The sequence below is a fragment of the Homo sapiens genome, chromosome 1 (assembly GCF_000001405.40).
Source record: "Homo sapiens chromosome 1, GRCh38.p14 Primary Assembly".
NCBI classification, from domain to species: Eukaryota; Metazoa; Chordata; class Mammalia; order Primates; family Hominidae; genus Homo; species Homo sapiens.
The window spans coordinates 222,994,714-223,021,040 of record NC_000001.11 but is presented as its reverse complement, the minus strand read 5'-3'; the positions used below and the strand labels follow the sequence as shown (position 1 = coordinate 223,021,040).

General features: G+C 42.1%; 1 protein-coding gene across 15 annotated transcripts in view; it reads right to left on the bottom strand.

Moving 5' to 3' along the window:
- Positions 15,046-26,327, bottom strand: part of DISP1 (dispatched RND transporter family member 1) — a 190,957-nt gene continuing 179,675 nt past the window's right edge. For all 15 annotated transcript variants that reach the window (NM_032890.5, NM_001350630.2, XM_011510075.3 and 12 more), the window contains 2 exons: positions 26,059-26,156; positions 15,046-18,656 (listed from right to left, as the gene is read on the bottom strand). In NM_032890.5, coding sequence (NP_116279.2) covers positions 15,069-18,656; positions 26,059-26,156 — 3,686 coding nt within the window. In that variant the 3' untranslated portion in view covers positions 15,046-15,068. The remainder of the gene's footprint in view (positions 18,657-26,058; positions 26,157-26,327) is intronic.

The following is a 26,327-nucleotide window of genomic DNA, read 5'->3' as shown; positions in this document are numbered from 1 at the left end:
GGGAAGGTGCCAACATGAAAGATTCACCTACCCCTGGCAGAGTGACCCTCTCTCACTGAGGGAGCTTGGGTCTGATCCGTAGGCAGGGACAGAGGGCTGCAGGACTTCACAAGTTTCTGTTCCCACCAGGCCGGATCAGACTGGCTCCAAGGACAGCTCCTAAGCCTCAGCGGCTGTTTCTGAGGTCCTGGAGCTCTGGATGGCTGCTGGGGGGTTCTGAGGATCTTTGTCATCCCAGATTCCCCTGCGATACCCATGTTAAGTGCCTGAGCCACTGGGCCTCCCAAAGGCCTTTGGGCTATTTCTGGCTGTTTTGATCCACCATGATGGGGGCACCTTCTCCTCAACCTCATCTCCTGGAGAAAGCCCTGGTCAGGATTTTCCCAGCCCAGACCTCAGTTTACCGGCCAATTACTTTCTTATGAGAACCCTAAAAGTTCAGAATTCAAAGATGTTGAGGGACAAATAGAAGTCATGTTTATAAGGAGGGAAAAGAGGATGCTGGTGGTGGATCTCTGGTCCCATCACAGAGACGAGGGGAGATGGGTTACTTGCAGGCCTCGTCTCTACGTGCTGGTTTACTGGAAGGGAACAGGAGAGGGTGAGGGATTGAGGAATGCAGACAGGAACTCACCTTTATTGGATTCCTATTAAATCTCATTTAATCCTTGACGTCTTCTTATAAAGCATTACTGCATTCCCTTTCAGATGAGGAAATTGAGGCTTAAAGAATTGAGTAATATGCCTACGCTCACGGGTGTGTGCTACTCTACCGCTGTAGGCAGACATACCCGGGTCTGGCCTCCCCACCTCACTCCTCATCATCAGCCTCCCATTGAAGTTTGGCAGCACTCATTAAGCCATTTAATAAGATTTACATACAGTCATGTGCCGTGTAGCAGCATTTCTGTCAATGATTGGCCACTTACATGATGGTGGTCCCATGAGATTATAAAGGAACCAAGAAAATCCCTGTCACCTAGGGATGCCACAGCACAACCCATTACCTTTTCTACGTTTAGATGCATGATACTTACCGTTGTGTTCCAGTCGCCTGCAGTATTCAATACGGTAATGTGCTGTACAGGTTTGTAGCCGAGGGGCAATAGGCTGTACCCTATAGCCTATGCATTTAGTAGGTGACACCATTTAGTTTATGTAAGTATACACGATGATGTTTGCACAATGTAAACCCAACGTATCTGAGACAGGTCTCAATTTAGAAAGTTTATTTTGCCAAGGCTAAGCCCACGCCTGTGACACAGCCTCAGGAAGTCCTGACGACATTTCCCCAAGGCTGTAGGGTAGAGCTTGGTTTTATACATTTTAGGGAGATATGAGACATCAATCAATACATGTAACAGTACATTGGTTTGGTCCAGAAAGGCAGGATAACTCAAAGCAGGGGCTTCCAAGTTATAAGTAGATTTAAAGATTTTTGGATTGGCAATTAGTTGAGTTGTTATCAATAGAAAGGAATGTCTGGGTTGAGATAAGGGGTTGTGGATGCCAAGGTTTGATCATGCAGATGAAGCTTTTAGGTAGCAGGCTTCAGGGAGACCAGACTGTAAATGTTTCTTATCAGACTTAAAGAGTCTGTTCTGTCAGTAATTCCAAAAGGGAGGAGGGAATGATGAGGTATGTCCAGCTCCCAGTTCCTGTCAAGGCCTGAACTAGTTTTTCAGGTTAACTTTGGAATGCCCTTGGAAGAGAGCAGGAGTCCATTCAGATAGTTGGTGGGGCCTTACAATTTTATTTTTGGTTTACAACAATATCAAAATTACCTAATGACACACTTCTTAGAATGTACCCCTGTCGTTAAGTGACACATAATTGTAGATAGATGGAATGGAATGGAATGGAAATAAAATGATGGAGGCAAAGGCACAGAATAAGAAGACAGTAAAAGAGAAAGCTGGGCTGGGAAGAAAGAAAGGAGGAGGAGTACAGAACGGATGGCCAGGTGGCCCCTAAATCAGAGTGTGGACTGCTTATTAAGGTGCAACTCCAGAGCCTCTCCCCTGACCTCTCCCCTGACCGGCTGAACCCAAATCTCTGAGTCTACTTTTCAACAAGCTCCTTGGGTGATTCTTATACTCATGAAAGTTTGGGAACCACTGCAGCCTAGCCTGGGCTAGCCAAGGCAGCAGCCACTAGCTGTGTGTGGCCATTTAAATGGGAATAAGCTAAAATTAAAGATTCACTTCCTCCCTCACATGAGCCCCATGTTAAGTGCTCAATAAGCACATGCGGCCGGGGCTATTGGGCCCCACCATCCATGTGAGGTATTGACTCCCAGCTCTCTCCAGTTGCCCGGACACAGGAAGGGATGACTGCCCCATCCTCAGTCAGGCAGTTCTCTCTACATCCTCGGAGGGTCCCTGCAGGCCTGGTGACTATGGATTTGGCGGGAGTCTTCCGTGTGTCTAACAGTGATGTGGGCCAGACTCCCAAATGTATCCCCAGCTCCACCCAAGCGCCAACCCAGACCTGTGGTTCCTGATCCCCTACAGAGACGGCAGGTCATCGAGTGGCCACAACATCTCCTTAGGCCCTGTCCTGCAAGGTCTCTGCAGAAGAGGGGCCAGTGTTGAAGACTGAGCACTTTGGGCAAGGTCCTTTCTTATTCTTGTCCCCACTCACACAGGCAAGCTGTGGCTTCAGAATGACAAAGTGGAACCAGGCTGTGCAGTTTCCTAGCAAATGTCCACCTGGGGCCCGAATGTGGTGTGTGGAGGGTGTGCACACTGTCACAGGCAGCCCAGGGAGGCAAGCAGTGTGACCCCCATCCACAGATGAGACTCAGAGAGGCTAAGGTGCGGGCTTAGCTCACACTGGCGAGGGGTGGTCTGGATTTGAATCCAGGCCTAGCTGATCCTCAGACAGTGCTCCTATGATCCTGATTTCTCTCTGCTTTGTCCCCAAAGCCGGGCCTCAAGGGGCCTTGGTTCCTGGCTCCAACCCAGAGAGTATCCTGGCCATCAGTCCCCAAAATCAAACATGCATCTCACCCCTTCCTACTGTGGGTCTGGAAGGATTCCTGGATGAGACCATCTTGATAATCAATGTTAGGATAATATGGTTTGGCTGTGTCCCCACCAAAATCACAACTTGAATTCTATCTCCCAGAATTCCCACATGTTGTGGGAGGGACCCAGGGAAGGTCATTGACTCATGGGGTCCGGTCTTTCCCGTGCTATTCTCATGAATAAGTCTCATGAGATCTGATGGGTTTATCAGGGGTTTCCGCTTTTGCTTCTTCCTCGTTTTTCTCTTGCCACCACCATGTAAGAAGTTCCTTTTACCTTCTGCCATGATTCTGAGGCCTCCCCAGCCATGTGGAACTGTAAGTCCAATTAAACCTCTTTTTCTTCCCAGTCTCAGGTATGTCTTTATCAGCAGCATGAAAATGGACTAATACACAGGATATCCCTTCCTTCCAGTTAAAGAGGAACACCTCATCCAGGAATTCCCGGTGCTGGGACAGCCTCCTGTTTACCCCTCGGCCTGCTCCGTCCCGGCAGATAAGGAAGAGCCACCCATTCTCTCCGCCACACCAGTGCAGGTTTCCTGCCGGACTCCAGGCAACTGCTTCCTAGCCAGGCTTTTTCCCAGGGGCTGGGGGTGGAGGCCACAGGCTCTTCAGCTTGTGAGAAAGTAGGGGAGAGGGAGCCCTAGAGAAATACCAGTAGGTAGGGAGGTGGTGAGAAGGGGCCCCGGCCTGCCTGTGGTGGGCTGTGCGAGACCCATGGGCCCTGCCCTCTAGCACACACAGAAAGCCCCTTGGCTTTCCACAGAAGACTGACCACTTTTCTCCAGCCATGACCCCTTTGCCCCTGCACCTGATGCAAAGCCAGAGGCAGAGCCACACAAGAAGCAGACTGACCCCACTGGCCACCCGGCCGGCCAGCACTGGGCAGATCTGCAGGGCTGGCTCCCCTTGGATGCACCAAGACCCAGCAGTGGGCGCCGTAGCGCCTGCCCACCAACAACAAACCTTCTCCAGCCAGCCTGGTGCCTGCCTTCTCAGCAAGCCCGATGTCACCAGACAGCCACTAATCATCTCAGAAGCCTTGCTTCCAAAGAGACAGGGCACACCTTGTTGGCTTGAAAGACCTACCCCATTTCTCTTCCTCCAACCTCATCTCCCAGGTGGGTGCAGTTCCCTGTTGGGCAGTAAAAATTCCCTACCCAACATTCACTGGTTGGTCTTTCAGTCTTTGTTTTGGTTTTCATAAAGCTCTGCTTACTACACGAGGAAGAATAATTCTTCCTCTACCTCCAAAGATGACAGAGAGCTAGGAAATCATTATAACTATAGACTGGCCTCAGATGGCCTCAGTGAGCAGATCCCAACTCCAGGCTCCCCCTACTAACTCCCACGCTGGCCTCTCAGCAGGAAGGCCCAGTTCTCCTAAATTCCCCTGGGCAGATGGGAAGCTCTCCCAGGCCTTTTTCCTTAAGACATGACTCCTCTAATGCACAACAACCTGCACAAGAACCTCTTTGTATGTTTAGGCCTCTGAATCCATCTCCCATTATTAGAGTGGGCAAAGAGCCTAGGACCAGCCCAGCAGGCTGTGTGCACTCCAGCCATACTTCTCAGTGATGTTCTTCCCCAGTGCCTGCATTAACAGATCATCTTCTCTTAAGAAATCAAAGGTCCCAGTCAATTTAGAAAGTTTATTTTACTGCTGGGTGCGGTGGCTCACGCCTGTTGACACCGAGACAAACAGAGAGAGACAGCAGAGACAAAGACCAGGGGAGAGATCTCTTGCTTCCAGCCCCTTGGGAAGCCTGCCCGTGGGTTCCATGAGGCACCCCAATTCTTCTCACAAAAATCTTTTCACTCTACTTAAAATAGACGAAGCTAGCTTCTATTTCATGAAAGTCCATCGTTCAGGGCTGAGTGTAGTGGTTCACGCCTGTAATCCCAGCACTTTGGGAGGCCGAGGCAGGCATATTACTTGAGGTCAGGAGATCGAGACCAACCTGGCCAACATGGTGAAACCCTGTCTCTACTAAAAATACAAGAATTAGCCGGGTGTGGTGGCGCACCCCTTTAATTTCAGCTACTCTGGAGGCTGAGGCAGGAGAATTGCTTGAACAGGGGGGCGGAGGTTGCAGTAAGCAGAGATGGCCCCACTGCACTCCAGCCTGGGCGACAGAACGAGACTCTGTCTGAAAAAAAAAAAAAAAAGAAATCAAAGGACTTGAAAGCTGTCTTCTCACCTGTCTGCCTCCCCTCGGTTCTCAGTCTTCTTTTCAGATATGTGGGCCTCCCAGGGAACTCCCAGAGGGAGTTAGGCATAGCCCCTGCCTCTCTCCTATCAGTTATGCATTTTGGCTGAGTTGTTTCCATGGTTAGCATTTGCTGGGGAAGTGAATGTTTCAGAGGCTATGAGGTCAAGACATTACTACTGGAGTATTTATAAACGAATGAAAGATGTAATTGCCTTGGGGCAGAATTTAAAACTCTAAGGTAAATTCTGAACATGATTAGAACTCATTAACCTTAAGGAAGTGAAGACAAAGTGTTAGCAAAGAGGCCAGCACACTTTATTTCATAGCTTTCTCCATTCCTTATTTGAAGCTAAGACCAGTAGGGTGATAGGATGGCTCTTCCTCTCCCCTTAGAGTCCCTGTGTTGTATTGGTCATGGTCCTGAGTTGCAGACAATAGAATCTATTCTAGCTGGTTTTCAGCAGGAGAGCATTTATTAAGGACATTAGAAAACTCACTGAAATGTTGCAAGGACTGGAGACACCCAAGCTTCTAGAACAACTTCCAGCACCGCACTGAAGAATGGTCCTGGTAAGGGAGCTGCCGACATTGACAACCCCAAATCACATGCATTTGCAGGTCTAAGCCATGGTCCCAGCTGGTTTCATCACTTTTTTTTTTTTTTTTAAATTTGAGACAGAGTCTTGTTCTGTCGACCGGGCTGGAGTGCAGTGGCGCCATCTCGGCTCACTGAAACCTCTGCCTCCCGGGTTCAAGTGATTCTCCTGCCTCAGCCTCCTGAATAGCTGGGATTACAGGTGTGCACCACCACATTCAGCTAATTTTTATATATTTAGTAGAGATGGGGTTTCACCATGTTAGCCAGGATGGTCTCGATCTCTTGACCTTATGATCCACCCGCCTTGGCCTCCCAAAGTGCTGGGATTACAGGTGTGAGCCACCGCGCCCGGCCTGTTTCATCACTTTCAAACCAAAGTCCATCTGATTGATAGAAACTAAGTCACATGTCTGTAGCCTTACAGCAAGTGAGACTGGGCATCCATGTCTGGCTGCCATGCTGGGAAGGTAGATCCACAATATGGGGGAAGCTTTTGAAATATGGAGAGGCTGTTAAAGTGTGGGAGTACCCAGGAATGATCACAGTCCACCACACACACAGTCCCCATTCCACAAATCACTGTGTGAGACGGGAAGTCTAGATTCAGATCTGCCTTCTTTCTAGAAGCCCCTGTTCAAGCCCTTAGTTCTAGAGCATATAAAGAAACCTGTAGAAAAAAGGTTTTGATTTTGGTGTGACTTGAAGACTCTTTTATAGTCTTCTTTTTACCAGGTATGAGAAATTTTTACAACTTCTCCCTGTTAGAAACATTCCTGTGATGGGCTAAGTTCTTTGAAGTCTCTGACTCTTATCTGCAGTTTCCTCTGCCTGGATTGCAGCTCTCTCCTCTGGTTGCATCTATAATACCTGGCCCAAACATTCAGGTGGGAGCTTGCTAAACAGGCCTGGGCTAAAATCTATCTCTGCTGCTACACAGCTGTGTGACCTTAGAAGTGTTACCTAATTTTTCTTATCCTCAGTTTATGCATCTGTAAAATAGAGGTAATATTACTGACTTCCTAGATTGTCCAGGGATTAAATGGATAATAGATGAAAAGAGACCACATAAATGGTAAACACACAGGATTATGTCCCTTCCTCTCCTTTCTTATGACGTTTTGTGCACTCCTGGGTTACAATACTTACACTAAACTGTGCCATTTGGACATTCACCTATTTTTAAACTATTGGGTAGACAGCCCCTTCTCTGCTGTGTGGCCCGCTGCTTTCTTGCAATGTAAAAAAATACAATATTGAAAAGGAAGGCTAAAATCATCTGTTTTCCAAGTACATTAAAAAATTATTAAATAATGTTAAATTACTCCGTCATTTGCAAGTAGTCTTATATTTGACTCTATTCGCTAGAGGAAACCTTGCTAAAAGTTTTGTTATATCATTCTATTTTATTTGCAACTTATTTTTTTTTCCCTAACGATGTACCATGAATATCTTTACAGGTGAGTTCATAAAAATCTACATCATTCTTTTAAAGGGCTACCACGTATTCCATAGCTTTCTTTAACCAGGGCTCTTCTGGTGGACAGCATTTTTTTTGAATTCTTGTGATGAACACTCCCATACATAGACGTGGCACACACATATTTCATCATTTCTGGAGGGGAGATTTCTAGAAATGAGACTCTTCTATCACAGACTATAAACATCCACGGTGTTGTCAGAAACTACCCTTTCAAAATATTGTGTTGATTTTCACCCATCCAAACAGTACCTCTTTCGCCCACATCCTTTCCAACACTGGAAGCCATCTATCTAAAATTCTGGACAACTGTGTAAGTTCAAATGGTAAGTCAACTAGTGAATAGATTGTCCATTTGTAACCCTCCTTCTGTTGAGTGCCGGGTTATTTCATTTGCCCACTTTTCTATTGGTTCTCTTTTCTTTTACATTTGTATGATAGAGATATTAATCCTTTGTTTGTGAGAGGTGTTGTAAAATTGATTTTTCTTCCAAGCAGTCATTTATCTTGTAATGATTTGTTTACTACTCTGCACTCTTGGAAGGCAGGGGCCGTGTCTTATTCAGGCTCCAGTAACTGAGACAGTAGCTGGCTTATTGCAGGCTCTCAGCAGTGTCTGTTGGATTAATGAGCAAATCTATACATGGATGGCAGACAAATCAAGGGAACTTCAGTGTGCATTAGCAAAAACACTGAGGGGATTTTAAAATAAAACGTGTATTCTGGAAAATGTCAATTGTGTCTATCCATTTTCTCAAAGTTTCATCTTAAGTTCAGCTTATTGTAGCAGAAACCACTGCAGATCTTGGGTTTTGCTTTTCAATTTCTGAGTATTATGAGACCCTCAAAATGAACATGAAACATATATTATGTGACAAAACCCACAAGCATAAGTGGCAAATAAAAACTAGAAAAATATGTATCTACCTTGAATAAGAACTAAGTCAAGAGAAATAGGCTAGTGAATAATTACATCAGAAGAGGAGTCATATGGATGGTTAAAATTAAAATGATATCAAGGAATCATGAACCATTTTTTTAATGACTTCATCATGGTAGGTTTATATTGTGGAAAAAACTCTGGATTCCTAATTTAAAACTTGTCAGGCAAGTGATCAAGTTAAGTCCCTTTGCCTCAAGTTCATCATCTGTAAACAAGGGAAAACTATCTGCCCTGACTACTTCAACAATCTGTGTATCCTTTCATCCATTTACTCATTCATTCCTTCAACATTTTTTGGCAGACAACTTATAGTGAAGACCGACTTAATTAATTTATTCATTTATTTTTGTAGACGGAGTCTCACTCTGTAGCCCAAGCTGGAGTGCAGTGGAGCAATCTCGGCTCACTGCAACCTCTGCCTCCTGGGCTCAAGAGATTCTCGTGCCTCAGTCTCCTGAGTAGTTGGAACTACAGGCGCACACCACCATGCTCAGCTAATTTTTTTGTATTTTAGTAGAGACAGGGTTTCACCATGTTGCCCAGGGTGGTCTTGAACTCTTGAGCTCAGGTGATCTAACCACCTTGGCCTTCCGAAGTGCTGGGATTACAGGCGTGAGCCACAGCGCCCATCCAAAGACTGATTTAATTTAGCTAAGTATGCATGGAAAAGGGACTTGTAAACTATAAAAAACATGCTACAACCAGAATATGAAGAATATCCTTAAAATTATTTAGCTTATAAAGTCAGAGTAGAAAATACCTCTATGGTACCCCAAGAATGTAGTGAATGGATACACTGATGCAGCTTTTGGAACATAAATAAAAACAAACACCTTATTTAAAACACAGAGTTCACAGTAAGACAGACTAGAGTAGAATACAGTTTTTATTATATTGAAGTATTTGCAGCAAATCTATACATTGAAAACATGTATGTACACACATTTATATACTATATATAATATATACGATATTTGCAATACAGGCAAATACATAGCATCTGTGTGACAGGGAATCAGCTGACAAAGGATGGCCTGAGGTACTAGAAAGTGGCTGGTCTTGCTCGAATGTTTGCAGGATGAGCGTTAATGAGCAGAATCGAATGACATGATGATGAGCATAAAAGCTATTGGATAGTAAGAGTTACACAATAGCCTCTTTAATGTGTCGCATCTCATTTAACCTTTGCAAAAATCAGTTTTTATTTCCAGGATAGGAGATGCACCTAAATGTTTTCTGAATCACAGTGACTTAGAGGAAGGATTGAAGTGTTGTCTCAAAATTGGCTTTTCTGACCTCCGCTTCTTCTCGGTTGGCATCGTGCAGATATTTACTAGAGAGCTGTGTAATTTGCCATGATTGGCAGGGAAGCCACTCACTGAAGGGAATTCCCCTTTATCTGCCAGAGCCCAGGGTCCTTTCCAGGGCAGGGCAAGGCAAAGAAATTCCAAATGGGATCTGTGACAGAATTATTCAGCAATTCAAGATTATTCGGTATAGATCTAGTCCCATCCCACATATATGACGAATAACACATACACTATTCAGGAAACTAAAAGTAAAGAGAAGAGATCAAGCTCTAAAAAAGAACAAACACCGGTGAACTTCAATCTGAGTGAGGATATTGTCAGAGATTTGCTTGTTTCACAAAGCCTTTCCTCAGATCTCTTTACAAACAGAAATCTTACTGGAGGGAGAGGAATGCTTGTGGCTTCACACACCCCATGGTTTAAAGCTCCAGTGAATTAAGCTCTTGATTGCTGCCACAAAAGAGAGAAATAGAAGTCACTCTGTGGGTGAGAGAGCTTCCCAAGATAGAATAATGCAGCTGGTGGGAGTGGGGAGAATCTCAGAAAGACCACATTGAGGACCACTTGAAAATCCATGCTATTTTCCCATTCTTACCTAGTATTTAAAACATCTGGTAAAGTTTTGCCTAGAGATTATCCCACGGGACCCTTTTTTTAAAAATTAGTAAGATTTGTAATGATCATATTACGTTGCAAAGACAGTAACACTACAGTTTTTTAAACTCTAGAGGTTTGTTTTCTTAGGCAGGCTAAACAGGCTCTTTGTAATCCTGTTTAGATTATTGGTTTATTTAGCAAATCCTTTCCCCTTTAAATAGTGGCAAGTTAAAAGTCCAATGCACTGATCAAAAATGGCCAATTAGTGGATAGAGATTGAGCCAATTTTACTCTGTTACTTTGCCTCAAATTAAAACCGGCTCTTACAAGAACCTTATTGGATTCCAAAGAAAAATATTTTTCTTTTCCTTTTTTTTTTTGGAGATGGAGTCTCACTCTGTTACCCAGGCTGGAGTGCAGTGGCACGATCTCAGCTCACCCCAACCTCCTCCTCCCATGTTCAAGTGATTCTCCTGCCTCAGCCTCCTGAGTAGCTGGGATTACAGGCACTCACCATCACGCCTGGCTAATTTTTGTATTTTTAGTAGAGACAGGGTTTCACCATGTTGGCCAGGCTGGTCTCAAACTCCTGACCTCAAGTGCTCTGCCCGCCTCGGCCTCCCAAAGTGCTGAGATTACAGGCATGAGCCACCACGCCCGACCCCAAAGAAAAATATTTCTTGCTAAAAATAATCTGCCCTTAATTTTTTTAGGAAAGCATAGTTTACATTACAGAAAGTTATGTAAAAAAAAAAAAAGATTTGAAAGGGTAAATGTTGCAGTTTAGCTATTCCAGTCGATTTAAGAACATGGAATTGAACTATTTCACTGTGATTGTCATAGGGTTGTGAATATCACAGTCACTAAATGAAGCACAAAGTAAGTCAAGAAGTGCAGTCATTTTATGGGTCAGATGAGAGCAGCAGAGGTGTTGACTGTTATTTCAAATGTTGGCTTAAATCCCTTAAGAAGGGAACCTGTTTTGTACAGCATCACTGTGAATAATTTGGGCCACTGATTTATCTTCTTATTCAAAATAAAAAGTATATGGTTCTCAAGGTTACCTAAAACCTTAAGAACAGGCAAGCTGGAAGAAGCTCCTTCTTGGACTGACTTCTGAATGCAGAACATCATCGCTGTATTTCATGTCCCCCTCCCTAAAACTTAAAACAGCACTCACGGCCCCAGAATCTCAGGAAAGCATACGTATGTGCCCACAGGCTCCACTGAGTTAATGAACTGTGTCCTAGTTGGCCCCTGTATTGTCAACTTCATGTTCTAACTGATGGTTTAGGGGATCTGATGGAAACTGTTGTTGATCCTGGTTACTTAGTTGTTTTTCTGTAAGCACCCTTTGGTTCACAAAGCTAACAAAAAGAGAAGTGACATCTTTTCTTTTCACACACACACACACATCCAAAATTATGGCAATTAAAACACTGTTAAGAACAAAGGGCACAAGATTCCACTAATCAACCTTGCATATTCATTACTTTTTTCTTTGTATTTAATGCAAAGATATGAAACCTTAGTGTACAAAACCAAACATTAATGAAAATGTCTAACAAAAAAAGTAGGTTAATCTAACAATAATTAGAGATAAACTAAATGCCAGCAAACATTTCCGAAAGCTCCACTATGGCATACAGGGTATTTGGACGTGATAGTTTCTTGTGCATAAAAAACAATCCCCTTGTGATTTCAACAAATTTCTATTTTTGTGGTTATGTTTGAACCTTAAGAAAAAATCCCAATTGAGTCTGGATTTTTTTTAAAACACAGGTTTCATTGTTTTTTCTTCTAAAACGACTCTCCTCATTAAAGTGAAAAGATGCAGCTGTTTTCAAAGACACTGTTTGCTGCTATTTCATTCAGAAACTATCCTAACTGCTGGTGGAAAGATGGTTTCCATGTGAGACAATGGGAACCGGGAACATTTCCTAATCTCCTGTAAGATCACATTTGTAAACTACTCTTCACATCACCCCATGCAAAAGTTTAAAAATTTAGAATGATTGAAGGTGGGGCATAGATTATTACAATAACATTTAATAGCAGCTTAGCCTACCTTTAAAGAATATTATTCTAGGAGGATGTGCATTTTACAGCAATTACACAAAGAAATGAATACACACAGATGAAGCGGTGTAGTTATTTCAAACACAGCTTGTCTCTGTGAAAAACTCCTTGCTCTTGGCCTCTTCCACTTTTCAATAAAATAGGAATTTAAAGAGTGACCTTGCAGGGAAGAAGTCAGGAACAAATTTGATAACATGGACTCAAACCTCAAAGATGTTCTTGTTGTAGTGGCAGTCTGCAGATTCTTTCCATAACCAAATACCTTCCAAGTTACAAGTATTTCACAGACAGAGGAAAGGGCTCTTTTCCCTATGTATAATTTAACCTCTTATCTGCTTTGAAAATTACCTAGAAGATTGGATGAAGTTTTTTGTGAAACATTCCTAGAAATAGTGATCCTCTGCTGCCCAGTAATGAATTGAAAATAAAAATTAAAAAATTCTTAAAACTTTCTAGCCCCAGCAAATACTTTTTTAAAAAAAGAAATCCATTCGTGAAAAACATAGTCAATTCAAAGGCCCAGATCTGGAGATGAAATAAATGTGAAAAGGTTTCACTGCTGCATTCAAGGCTCAGGGTAATTAATCAGAGATGGGGGATGGGGGACGGGGGATGGGGGACGGGGGAGGCCCCTCCAGCCCCGTGGAGACAGAGCAGGCTCGGTGCATGGTAACCATGCCTCCCTGGTGGAACCCAGAGAGAAGACATAGGATGTTCCCCCTCCTCCCTCTAGTCTTCATTTTCAAATCAAATGACACTTAGCTTACCTGAAAGTCTTCCAGGTTAGACCATCCATAAAGAAATTGGCGTTTTTTTTAATTGCCTTTAAATTCAATCCATGTGGGTGGCCGAAAAAAGTCCTTTTGGGCCACTAAATTTTCACATAACTTTATGGTTACACATTTCAGAGGGAAAACAAAGACTCTAGTGTCGGGTATCGTGAGTCCTGTTTTCAAGTGCTCCTTCTCCTCCATATGTCCCCTTATTTATCTAACAGAATTAAGTGCGATGGGAATGGACATAAGCTCCTGAATGTCAGTGTTAAAAGAAACTAACTGGTTTGGAGAGGCAGCTTAGCAACAGAATATGTGAGAGACCTAGAGGGTTTAGTTCCCTGTGCGCTGCCTGAGAGTTGGCTATAATACTTGAGCGAAAGTTATTTCCGTCTCTATGTGAACTAGCGGGAGTGCCATCCAGACTCCTGGGGGCTGGTCCTCCTCCTTGCAGTGTAATCAGAGTCTGCTTGTGTACTTCAGCTGCACAGTGCGTAGATGCTCAATCCGTGTTCACGGGATGAACTCAGTGAACTGCCAATGTTAGCAAGAGGGATGTTTGCTTTCACTTCAGAGAACAGAATGAGGACAAACTGGTAGAAAAACTACAGGACAACAAATTCCGGTTCAACCAAGGTAGACGTGTAGTGACCTACTGGTCACCGAAGTGTTCAAGCAAAAGCTGGAAAGTTACTTAACAAATATGTGGTCTAGTGGATGTGGGTTGGAGTCAATGACCCATAAGATCCCTTCCTGCTTCTGACAGCATTTTTCTCAGGCCCTGGAAAAACATGCAGATCTAATTTGGAAAACTATTCTTAGAAAATAACCAATATAACGTTTGGAGGGAACATTGTATTTACAAATATTTCCACTCTTTTCTTTGGAGGACCAAATTGGAGGTAGAACTCCAGAGGGAAGCAGAATGCAGAAGAACACTTCCAGGATGGGGCTGGAATGCACAAAGGATCAGATGACACCCTATGATGAGGACTGTCATCTGAAGCATTATCCAGAGAGCATGCTCCAACAGCTCAATTACTGTCGACTGATCTAACATGAGATACACAAGTGTCATTTAAGATGCTGCCTGAAGGCTTAGCATTTCCAGGTGTTAACTGCACAAAAAAATAATCCTTAAGTGTCTTGAGACACTTTTTAACAAAGGAGAAAGAAGCCTTCTAAACATGGCCCCTTAGGGGCAGAGTTGGAAGCAAAACTTCATCCAAGTTCCCTTGCTCTGAATGCTCACCTGACCTGGATCTGTCTCTGACATCATGCAACGTATCCTGTGAAGTGCAGCACTATTTTGTGCGATCACATCTCTTCATTCACGCCCGTCCTTCTGTGCCTTTAACATAATTGTGGCCTGACACAGATGATGCTCATGGCTCCTGGGTTAACAGCTAAAATTACTGAACAACTGTACATTTTGGTTAAAGTGGAAAAGACACTGGTGTGGATATACGTGTGTTCTTGGCTTCATGTAAAGTCTACTAAAGCAGACATGTGGAATGCATTATTAAGGTGCTTGGCAATTGATTTTTTACATGAGGCCTCACCAAAAATGTAAGTTTTAATTTAGTTCTTGAATCCCAACTGAACTGGCTCTATTAAAATTAGAGCAATTCCTAGTATTCATGTTGAGCAATCAAAAGTACTGATTACTGCCCACGAAATACACTAGAATGAGGATACCAGGTGAATATGATGGCCCGGGAGAACGGAAACTTTAAACTTTAAATCTCCGACTCACTGCAGTGGGAGGGTAGAAAGAGAGACAGTTATTTTTCAAGCTGGGCATAAATGTAAAAAACAACTATACTTTTTGAAAATATAAAATCCAACAATCATCCAATCCAATAACCTAACGCACTCAGCAGATTTGTAAGTTTGTTGTTCCTACGGAATATAAAAATATTCTAAAATTGTTAATGTGAAACATGCTTGTTGCTGTATTTTTGGGCTTCTTTTCTAAGCTTCTGGATTTTACTTCCATGTTAAAAGAATAATTGAGGCACTGGTTCTGAATTGAATGCTGCATTTATTATAGTGTTTTTATTAACAAACTTTCACCAGAAAGTTCCGAGTGTGTTAATACAGCAGGCACATTGGCTTCCATGTTTGGCATTTGACAGTCCACAGAATTGCACTTCACTCTCACAATTCTGCCACAACTTTGTGAATTATTTGGGCAAGACCTACAACCAGCCTCCCCCATTAAATGATTAAATAGGACTTTTGGTTCATTCTGATTGAAATGTTCTGAGTTCACACTTGCATCCGTCTGTGACAAGCTCAGCTCCACTTTCCCTCCTGCCTTGTTTTCAGTCCCTCCACTGCTCTCCAGATTGCTCACGTCTCTATTTTTACAGAGTTCCCTTTGTTTATTCTCGGGGTCGCAACACGTTTTGAGTAACGATCCAGTGCTTCTGCAGACAAATGACGATGGCTCTGCCATCTTTGGAAGATGCTCTTCTATGCTCCTCTGAAGACTGTGTACATTGGTCTTGCCAATTTTTTCTTGGGCCTGAATGTGCTGCACTGGGTGGAGGAAAAAATTCCTAGGCAGAGAATTCTGCATTCCGGCTGGCTTTACTCTGCCCTGCAGGCAGGGACAGTGGTGGATGTGCGTGATGGGGTGCACAAAGCCCTCGACAGCTTGGTGTGTGGCCTTCAGAGGTGCCACGCCGTTTTGGATCTGGACAAAGCTGCTAGTGGTAGGAGAGCACTGGTGGCACAAGCAGTCCCCCATCTGCTGGCAAGAGTGTGGGCCATAGTTCAAGTGTTTGTAGGCATCTGGGCAGCTACATCTCTGATTCAGAGAGAAGAAGTGACACACGGTATGCTGTTCAAGAGGGGGCTGTAACAAGGCAGAGCCAGCGTCACTTTCAGTGCTTTTGCTGAGTTCACTGTTGTAAGCTGCATGCACAGGCATCCCTAAATTCTTTGCTTGGCTGTTGAAAAATTCAGAGCAGATGTGGGTCTCTTCATAAGTGGTCTTCTCAGGGGCAGTGCAGCTGTGGGAAGCCAGAGGTTCTAATTCATAAAACTCATGCTCCAGTTCAGATTTTGGGCCCCTGGGATCTAAATGATAAGCATTTATGGTATGTGTTTTGCTTTGTCCCTTGTCACTGGGACTTGTAGACAAGGCATGGGAAAAGGCACTGCACTGTAGTTTTTTAGGTAAAGGAATCTGACCACAGGTACCCTGTGGTCCAAGGCACCGGCACATGCACTGGAAAAAGAAGGTGGCGAAAGCCCAACTGATACACATGATGAGCATCATGAAGGTGCCCAGCTGGGTGTAAGCTAGAACTGTGGAGGGCATCATCATGGCCCCTGCCACGAAGGTGGTCAGGGCAGCCATGGCCATCGCAGAGCCCACGCGACTCAGAGAGAAGATCACTTTGCCTTCTCGGTCGGGATCTGGAGCCAAGCGGTAGGCAACCCCATAATGGACGGCAAAGTCTACAGACAAGCCGACGGCAACCGAAATGGTGACAGATTCCAACACATTGAGCTCCCAGCCCAGCAGGACAAGAGAACCAACAGTGACAAATATCGTTCCAGCAATTGAAATGATGGCATAAAGGCTTATGATGATGTTCCAAGTTGTCAGCAGCATCACGCTAAATGCAACAGCAACTGACAGCCCCATGGCAATGAGGGTGCCATCGGAGAGGCTATCCTGGAGGTCATAGAACTCCAGATTGCTGACAAACCAACCATTGCTGAGGCCTTCAGGGGCCGAACTCAGCTCACTGGATATCCACGAGTCCACCTCTTTATAAAACTGATGCATCTTTTCATAAGCCAGTGTGAAGAGGTAGGTACTCTGGAACTCTAACACCACTGCCCTGATAGTATCATTGATATCAAACCTCGGCCCTGGGGTTTTGCTATCCAAATGGTACCCTGTACTCCTTTCCAGCTCCATGATAGCTCTCTTGATGCACAGTTCAAAAATCTCTTGCTTGTAGGGGAAGCTCCAGTGGCTGCAGCATGGGTACAGGGCAGGCTCATCACAGTCCTGGTTTTCCATCCACTGTTTGAATGTCTCAATGAAGCAGCTGGTGAAGTCCTGTTCATCAGTCTGGTAAAAGAATGTTTGGTTTCTCAGTTTTTGACAGAAGTGCAAAATCCAGGCCTGGGAAGCTGGGCTGGCGATGTTAAAACTGCTATCTAATGTCAACTTCCCTTTACTCTTGGGATTTAGTGGGTTGCCATTGTCTTCTGGGGACACGCCCCAGATTACTGTGATGGGCATGTGGAGCTCCTCGCCATGGTGAACACGTTCAAACATGAAAAGCTTTTTGTATTCAGCATCATAACGCTCAAAAGGATGGGACGACCGGAACACCTGGAACTCGGATAACTCCAGTGAGGGCAGTTTCATCTTTGGATTTATACATACAATGTAGGCCCCACCTACAGTTAAGGCAAGGAACCAAAACAGCCAAAGGTAGCGAAACTTAATGACAATGCATGGCAATACTTTTTCGAAAAAAATTCGAGATGCTTCTGAAATGGCAAAGAGTACTTTGTGGCACTTCTGGCAAGCCACTGTCCAGCAGCTTTTGTTATCATATATTTGCTGCTGGGGCTTTTTGAAGCAAGTGAATATATTAAGAAGATACCGCTCATGCAGCACAACAACTGCTGGAAGCCATGTGACCATCAAAACGTAATTCACCAATATAGCTGTCCCCGCATAAACCCCAAAGCATCGGATTGCTGTAATGTTGCTAACATAGTTAGCATAAAAGGCAGCAGCAGTGGTAAAACTGGTGACGAACATGGAGAGGGCAGCGTGCTGCAAGGTGATGCTTACTGTTTCTGAGGTTTCGGCATGAGGCTTATCAAATTTTGTGTAGTTCCAAACATCACACAGGACAAAAGCATCATCTGCTCCAATTCCAACCAAAATAATGAGGGCAGTGAGGTTCATAAAAGGAAAAAATTCGAAGTGAAATACTACACGATAGAGAAAATAGGAAACAATCAAAGAACTGATTATTGCAAACATTGTCATCAGAGTGATAAACATGGACTTGGTGTAGACACACATAACTAAAAGGACAATCACAATGGCTATGGCAGGATACACAGTATCCATTAGAAGATAATCCTGAAACAAACTGTGTTTGATACCAAACTCAATCCCGGTGATGGTAGTCACGCCGTCAGAAGAGTTCCAGTTTTCAAAGTTGTCCAAGTAAATGTTCATCATGCTCTCCCCTTTCTCTGTGGGAGAGAAGAGCATGCTGTATTTTAAAGCTGGCGTGGCATAGTCAGCCGTCTTTGGGGTCATAAAGTCTTTGTCCACCAAGTAATGGAGGATCTGGTACACAGCATTGTACTTGGTACATTTGCGTGGCACATTGGTGCACTTGAGCTGGTCCTTTCTTCTGGCTGCCATGTCCCAGCAGTCTGGCCCCAGAGTGCCATTTTGGTAGTGTTTGGCACAAGTCCGAAGCAGCTTCAAGGTATGAGAAACGTCTCGCTCAACTATTTTCTGACAGGACGATCTATTGTTCAGAATGGCGATGTAGTTTCCCAGTGTCCAGCTGGGGCAGCAGGAGGCAGCAGTGGTCCTCTGGCAGAGATCACCAAACTGGGGATGAGATCTGATCTGCAGAGATAGAGACAAGCAGAAGGACTACAGTTTAAATTGGTTCACAATCGTTCACAACTGGAAAGGACTGCACTAAGGTGATCTTGAGGGACAGGGAAAGTTACAAAAGCTAAATAATTATCCACTTAAACTAGGAATCAGTTTGAATACAGGGTGAAATTTCCCCTAAATGGCGTCATGTTACAGGATGCCCTTTAGGTTACTTTATTCTGAATTAAAAACTACTGTTTGGGGATGACATGCAAGTGTGAAACAACTTCAACCAATGCTAGTTTTGTTTACAAAAGGAGATCAAATTAACACCTACTTAGTCAACAAGCCTTTTCAAAGCCACTTTAAAAAGCAATAAAATGGACAGGTTGTGAAGCTTATGTATATACATGCATAGGATTAAGAAAACCGTACACTTGATATATGAAACAAATTTGTGGTTTTGCCTAAAATTCTGGTTATCAGCATGAAATTGTTGGTGACTAAAGTACTATATTTCAGTCAACACAGTTAGAAGCAAAGATGATATTCCCTAGAGAACTGCTTTGGTCTGAATGTTTGTGCTCCTCCCAAATTCAAGTTGAAACCTAATCCCCAGTGTGTTAGTGTTAGGGGGTGTGACTTTTTGGAAGGTGACTAAATCACAAGGGAGGAGCCCTCATGAATGGGAGTAGTGCTTTTATAAGAGGTCATGAGGACACGTAGAATGCCCCATCTATGAGGAACAGGTCCTCACCAGACTGAATCTGCTAATTCCTTGATCTTGAACTTCTCAGCCTCTGGAACTATAAGAATTAAATTTTTGTTGTTTATAAATTACCCAGTCCGAGGTATTTTGTCACAGAAGCCCAAACAGATTAAGACAAAGACTGTTTGGTGAATCAAAAAGTGACCCCAGTAATATCAAAAGTGCTGATGTCAAGAAGCATAAAGGTTTGGAATAAAATTGTTTCCTGAAGTATGAGTAGAAAAGGGCAATGTTTCTGGATTAAAATATGATTGATATCTGATTTTTAAATTGGTATATACAATAAAATAAATGCCTAAGTAAGAATTTAATTATTTCTTCCATAAAGTTTATTCAAATTGGCAAAAATCCTTTTTTTGAAAACTTTCTCTTTTGGTAAATGAGGACCTGCTGCACATTAGCAAGTATGGTAATTCTGGATTTGGTGTGGACAGTATTTCATTTAAAACACTATTCCTGGAGAAGGCTTTCCATCTTATGGCTATTGTTATAAAAAATTGAAAAATTGTTCCATCACTGGTTTGCTAGATTAAAGTCTGAACCATTCCATCCTGTAAATTAGATGAGTAGCCCCTCTTCTCTGAGGTGAGAATAAGAAATATTCCTCTTCTCCTGAGCCTGACCAGAGACTTCTCTTTAGGAGAACCAGAACTAAAGATGACCTGGTCCTATCAGTTTCCCTCATCTCTATTTACCAAAGGCTGTTCCAGGGAAGAAACTCCAAAGTTCAAAGAGGAAGTGAATATTTTTTTTTTCTAGTAGGATTAAAAACACTCTTTACCTTGATTAAACTGGCTTTATCAATCATGTATTGAAATGTCTTCTCAAAGTAGAGCAGAAGCTGGCATGAATCACTGCTTCAGAACTGGGACTTACCCAAGAACCAAGTTACCTATGATCCCTGAACTCTGTTTATCAGGATACTTTCCTGGGACTAATCCTGTGGGGGTGGGGTATAGATGAAACAGGACTGGCCATGTGTTGAGACTGTGGAATTGGGTGTCCTATTTCGACAGTCCATTATACTATTTCTCTACTTTTGTATATGCTGGAGAATTTCCATAATAAAAAGTTGTTTGTTTTTCTACAGATTGAGGGTAAAGAAAAATGAACCCAAAAGGTTTTTGTTCAAATGTACTAAAATAATATTTACTTTAACAAAGCCTTCATTTTAAAGCTCATTTTTGAGGAGCAATCGTAAACATTCCATAAACTAGGATAATTCATACTTGACTGTTTCCAGATAAAAACATTCACATACGCTAACTTAGGGAAAACTGAACCACCCAACAACAGGAAACCCTGGAATGGCATCTCACTGGTTTTCATGGCAGGTTACCAGTTTTACCTTACAAAGACGTAACATACAAACCACTAGGGTCAGCTTGATGAACTGAATGAAAGGTAATGCAACCCCAATGTCTGACAGTTTTCAAATGGAAGAAAATGAACTGTATCCATTATGAAAATCCATTATCAGCTAGAAGGAAAATACCTGTAGTTGCTGAAATAACCAAATGCCAAAGATAAAGGACATGGAGTTGCCAACTAAAACTGGGAGAGAAAGCATAGAATTCTGTCCTTGAATAACCTTTTCAAATAATAGCACATTTTTAGATGTGTATAGTTGACCAAAGATTAAGCGGTTAGACATTATAAACACAGATTAAATGCTATTTTGATGGCTGCTATTAAAAACGAGTGCTAGTAAGTCACTGGGGAGCCAGTCCTCCAATTCAAAGATGGTACTGATTGATGGTCAACCTTTGGAAAACCAGTTTTCGAGAACTCATACAGGGTAAGAAATAAGGACAGAGAAAAGACATCGTGACTGGTTTTCTCTACCCTGAGTTGGATGCCAACACGCTGAATTTAAAGGAATGGAGTTCAAGGAATTGTCTGTACTTTTAGGGAGTAAGGTCATATGTTCTGGATCTATTCATCCATTCAAAAGCAAATTTACTGAGCATCTACATAAGATGAATAAGGCACAGTTGTCCTTCCTCCAAATTGTTCACAGTGTGGCAGGGAAATCAGACACAAACATAAGTAACTGTAATTCAAAGCGAGAAGTATGGTATTATCTGTAAGGGCTTATGGTGACCTACAGAGAAAGTACCAAAGTCTGTAAGTATGATGTGACAATGGCACTAACTTAGTCATGTGTGACTGAGATACAGAAACACAGAAGCATGTATTATATTATGGGGCTTAAAGAGACTGGAAAACAGGTATGTCTTCACACAGAACACAGATATGTTTTTGCCATATTTTTGGAAGAGGGATTCATAGGAATAATTTCAAAATCTTTGAAGTTTATAAAAATAAAAATGGAGTTAGTGGAAGCAACTTCTTATACCTCTCATGAGGAATATAGCCCTTCTAATTCTAGTTATTCACAAAATGGATGTTTAGGGGAATCATTGTGCTTATGTGGTTATAACATCTCTTGGCACACTTCCCTAGTTAGATAGTGCCAGGGGTGGAGTTGACTTAAAATAGAGGGTAAAGTAAGAGAAGAGAGAAAAAGAAGAAACCAGCAGAGAGTTTTAAATGATACCTTAACTTTTAAAACTATTGGCTAAGTTGCAGATATTTTAAGAAGCTGAGAAAAGAACAAAAGGGAGGAAAATTAAGCCCTTAATACCAGGTTCAATTGACTGCCGGACCCTCCTCCACGCGTAACCAACCTCCCTATGTATTAAACGTTTAAGGGGAGCCTCGGGAGAAAAGAAAAAGCAAGGGCTCTGTAGCCCTCTTTAAAACAAGAATAGGAAAACATGTTTCTGGGATCTTCTAAGCTTCAGGGGTTTTCTAGCTGTCTACAAAAGTCACCCTAGTAAACAGTCTCTGACACCAAATTTCAAATCCCTTTACAAGCTGAGTCCTCAGAGCTCCAACTTCTACATTGTACAAAGACTATGGAACAAGTACATGGTTTCCAGCAGAGTCAAGATTAGAGAGACTCACTTCTGGTTACTAACGACACCAGTGTGTCCCTTAGGATGTCAAAGGGCAGAAAGAGGCAATGAAGAAGAGTAGGGGAATCAACTGAAGCTCCTTTTGAAAGTGTGTAAGGAAACAAGCATTTCTGTTAAGAGGTAGACAACAGGATCAGAAACAGAAGTACTTCACTTTGGAAACCAATGTCTGAATTATGAGTACAAATGGCATGTAATTTAAACAAAACCTAGAGTTTGAACTAAATGTGCTGTAAACACAGGCAGGTGACAATTGAAACATCTGGTCTCACTGAGATCTTATACTAATTACCAGACGTTTTCTGGAGTCAACCCACCAACAATTAAGGTCTTCTGCTTGCTATTGCTTGGTTGCGCCCCATTTAACTTCATAGTTGTTAATAATCAAGTGCTTCCATATAACAACCAGGATTTGGGGGCTGGGGAGAGGAACAACTGCCAAGTAGTCTTAGGACAACTCTGCTCGAACCACTGTAACAAAGAAAACCCCTAACAGTGTCTTCAACTGGGAGACTAAAAAAAGGTACAGTAATATTCTGAAAGTCGAACTGTTAACCAATAGTTATTACTTAAGATATCAGATGAATATATTATCTCCATGAGAAAGGTTTATTATTCCAGGTTCATAGAGTTTGAGACTAGAATACAAAGGTGTTTATAATTGGTAAAAATAGTATTTAACAAGCTAAAATGATAACCATACTCTTTGAGGTAGACTTTTGGGGCTTTGATCACCTATTTATTCATTTGTTGGTATGGATCTATAATTGGCCATACCAACCATTCATTTTGACACATGTCTTGAGTCTGTTTCTCAAATTCTCACAAGAGCACCGCAATACTGCTCTCTTCCTAATTAACTGCCAAAGCATATAGATAATGCTTTTAGTTGTTGACTTAGAAAATATGTACTAAAAACATGTAGTTGTACTGTTCTTGCCAGGGATTACAAACTTAAACTCACAGCTGTCCTATCCTTATCAACTCGGTAGAAAGATAGACAAGCAGAGTACATCTATTCCTTTAGATAATCTAAATTATGCAAATGCAACAAGCTAAACCATTAGAAAGCCACATAGATTCCATTGCTTTGATCTCTTATAGAAATGCTTTTACTGTAATGTTTTCTTGCTACCAGCCTACCTATGTTTTGCAAATCAGCTGAACTTTAATATTGTATCTCTTCTAAGCACGCTGTTAAAAATTTTGTACACAGTGTCACACTTCTTTTATGAAGACTATGGGGGAACTGTCTCCTCCCGTCTTAGCAGGAGGAAAAGCTGGGCTTCTAAAAAACAAACTTGTTACCCTATTTATATGACTTTTGTTACTGATTGTGAATCCTTTTTGCTCTGGCTGCTGGGAGGTTACAGATAAGTTTGCAGCTCCCATCAGCAAATGTACAAGATTGTGGGGTGTGCATTAGTATAAATCTCATCCTTAGCTTTATTATTTTCCTCCCATTGTTTTCCCTTCATGTATTTCATTCAACTTATTTATCTCATCCTTTGCATATGCTTTTCTGTAAACTACCTCAACATGATGATTTTTATCATCTATCTATCTATATAAATCATGTTGAGGTAGTTTACAAATATATATATATATATAGAGAGAGAGAGAGAGACAGAGAGAGAGGAGAGATGAGAGACTATACTACTTTTATTTATGAAAGCCACCATGGCGTACTATTGCTTACTGGCTTTTGAGTCTCAGAGTCTAACATGTACTCATGGAATAAATTGCTAGCTCTTTAAGAAAAAAAAGGATACTTATTCCAGACCACAGTGACTTTTTAAGCTTCATTTGTGTGGGAAATGGCATATACAGGAAACAAAACGGGGGAGGTATCTTCCTCACTAGAAGCATAAAGCAGGGTGGGTAAAGGCAGACGCTGGAGTTCAACTTGGCTGGGTTCCAATCCTGGAAGTGCCCCTGACCAAAGATGTGAACTTTCCTCAACTGAAAAATGGGCTATTTAGTATTTAATTCACAACACTGTCATTGGGATTAAATGAAATAATGTATTAAAGTATTTAGAACACTTCCTGGCACATGGTAAATACTCACTAAATATCAGCTATTAATTAACTGAGTGAATTCAATCACTTCAGAGTCTTCAGGAAAGGGAAGGTCTGAAGATCAACCAAAGGTAGAAGAATGAGGACAAGAAGGAATAGAAATTAATGAACTGTACTCATCCAAGGTGAGATTATAAAGTAACCAGACTGGCTTAGCTTCTCTTAGCTTAATTTATCATCCGTGTAAAATGCATTGTAAATTCCAAGGTCACAGATCCACTGTGAGTGATGTACAAGTACCCAGCATAAAGTCTTGCACATAGTAAATTTCGCTACACATTTACAACTTTAGAGTTAATTTTCTGTATAAGAAGTATCCTAATGCATGACAAAGAGAAATAGGTTCATAGCCTTCAAATAAGGAACTGATAGCTGTAGAAGAGAAGAAAACATCACAAATAAAAATTGATCACCAATTAAGAAACTTTGGTCTATTTATAGATCGTTTGTGGCTTTGGTCTATGTGAAAGGAAGATAGCACTGACAGAAAATCCTGATACCTCAGTCGATTGGAAAGTCATTTTCAAAATGTACAAACAGCCTCTTAGAATGAAGGATGGGGTAAATCTGGGAGGTCTGGGACCAACTAACTAGGTTACCTGGTTAAGATACTTAGTTCTTAGAAGGTACTCATGTTAGTACAATGAGACTGCTGGTTTGGGTGATCTCTTCTTTCCTTTCTACTGCCTATTTCATTAAGAAATTTCCCTGTTGACCGAACAGGTGATTGCATGAGGTGGTCAGGCTAGCTCTCAGCACGGCACATGATTCGATTTTTTAACCAGTCATTTTACATTTTAGAGTTATGCTGAGAACACAAAGAGTTCCTTTTATGCTGGTTGCTATGCTTGGACAAGTTCATTAGTGACATCAGATAGCAGTTTCTATTTAGAGAAACTATCTCTGAACATATGAAATTGACAGCTCTTCCAAACCCAGAAGCTCACTACATTTTCTGATGCGGACATGTTTTTGGCTGTAGAGAAGACTGAGAGACAAAGCGCCTGTCTTCTTGCATCCCGGTGTCTCCCGAAGCAGCAAGGTGTTTAGCATTCAGGGCAGTTTGGATTGGATTACTGTGGTCATTTACATAGATACTGTATTTATGCTCTTTGATGTCCCCTTTCCCAGCCTGCTCCCTAAATTTCCCTTTGAGGTCACTGGCCCAAATGACCCAGTGATTGCCAGAGAGGCAGGCATTTCATTGCACAATTAAGATGCTGACAACTGCCTCAGGGCAGGAAATAGGGAACAATGAAACTAGGTTAGGAAATAAAAATACAACAAAAGAAGAAAAACAGTCTTAAATATTATACTGAAAAGAAATACTATGTGAAATAACAGAAAACACCATCAACAGCCAGAGATCATGAATGGGAAAGAAAAAGGAAGATGGTATGTTTTAAAGTTGAAGGAAACACGGACACTTTGATCCTGGGATCTGAAAGAATGCAAAGCTGGCCTGCTGGAGTTTACTCCTCAGTAGGTAAGCCTCTGAAGTACTTTCATCTGATCAGAAACCAGGGTCAGCAGTAAAAGGAGTTTCAATAATACAACCTTATTTGTGCTAAGGAGATTTTAGTTTTTATCTTACATACCCTGGAATTATCTACATTGCACATTGATTTAATTGCAGGTAAATTCCATAATGTCTCCCCTCCAGATGAAGTAAATACCACTCTGGAATATCGGTCACCTGGTGATATGAAAAAAAAAAGGAAAGAAAAAGGTTTATAAATTATTCATTTATTTCATAAGACTCAGGATTTGGAAATAATTCAAACTGGGAAACCACATGGATGATTCATTAGCAGCAGGAAATTCTTTCCTTTGATAAATTCCAGGAGAAAATGTTAAAAGAAAAAAA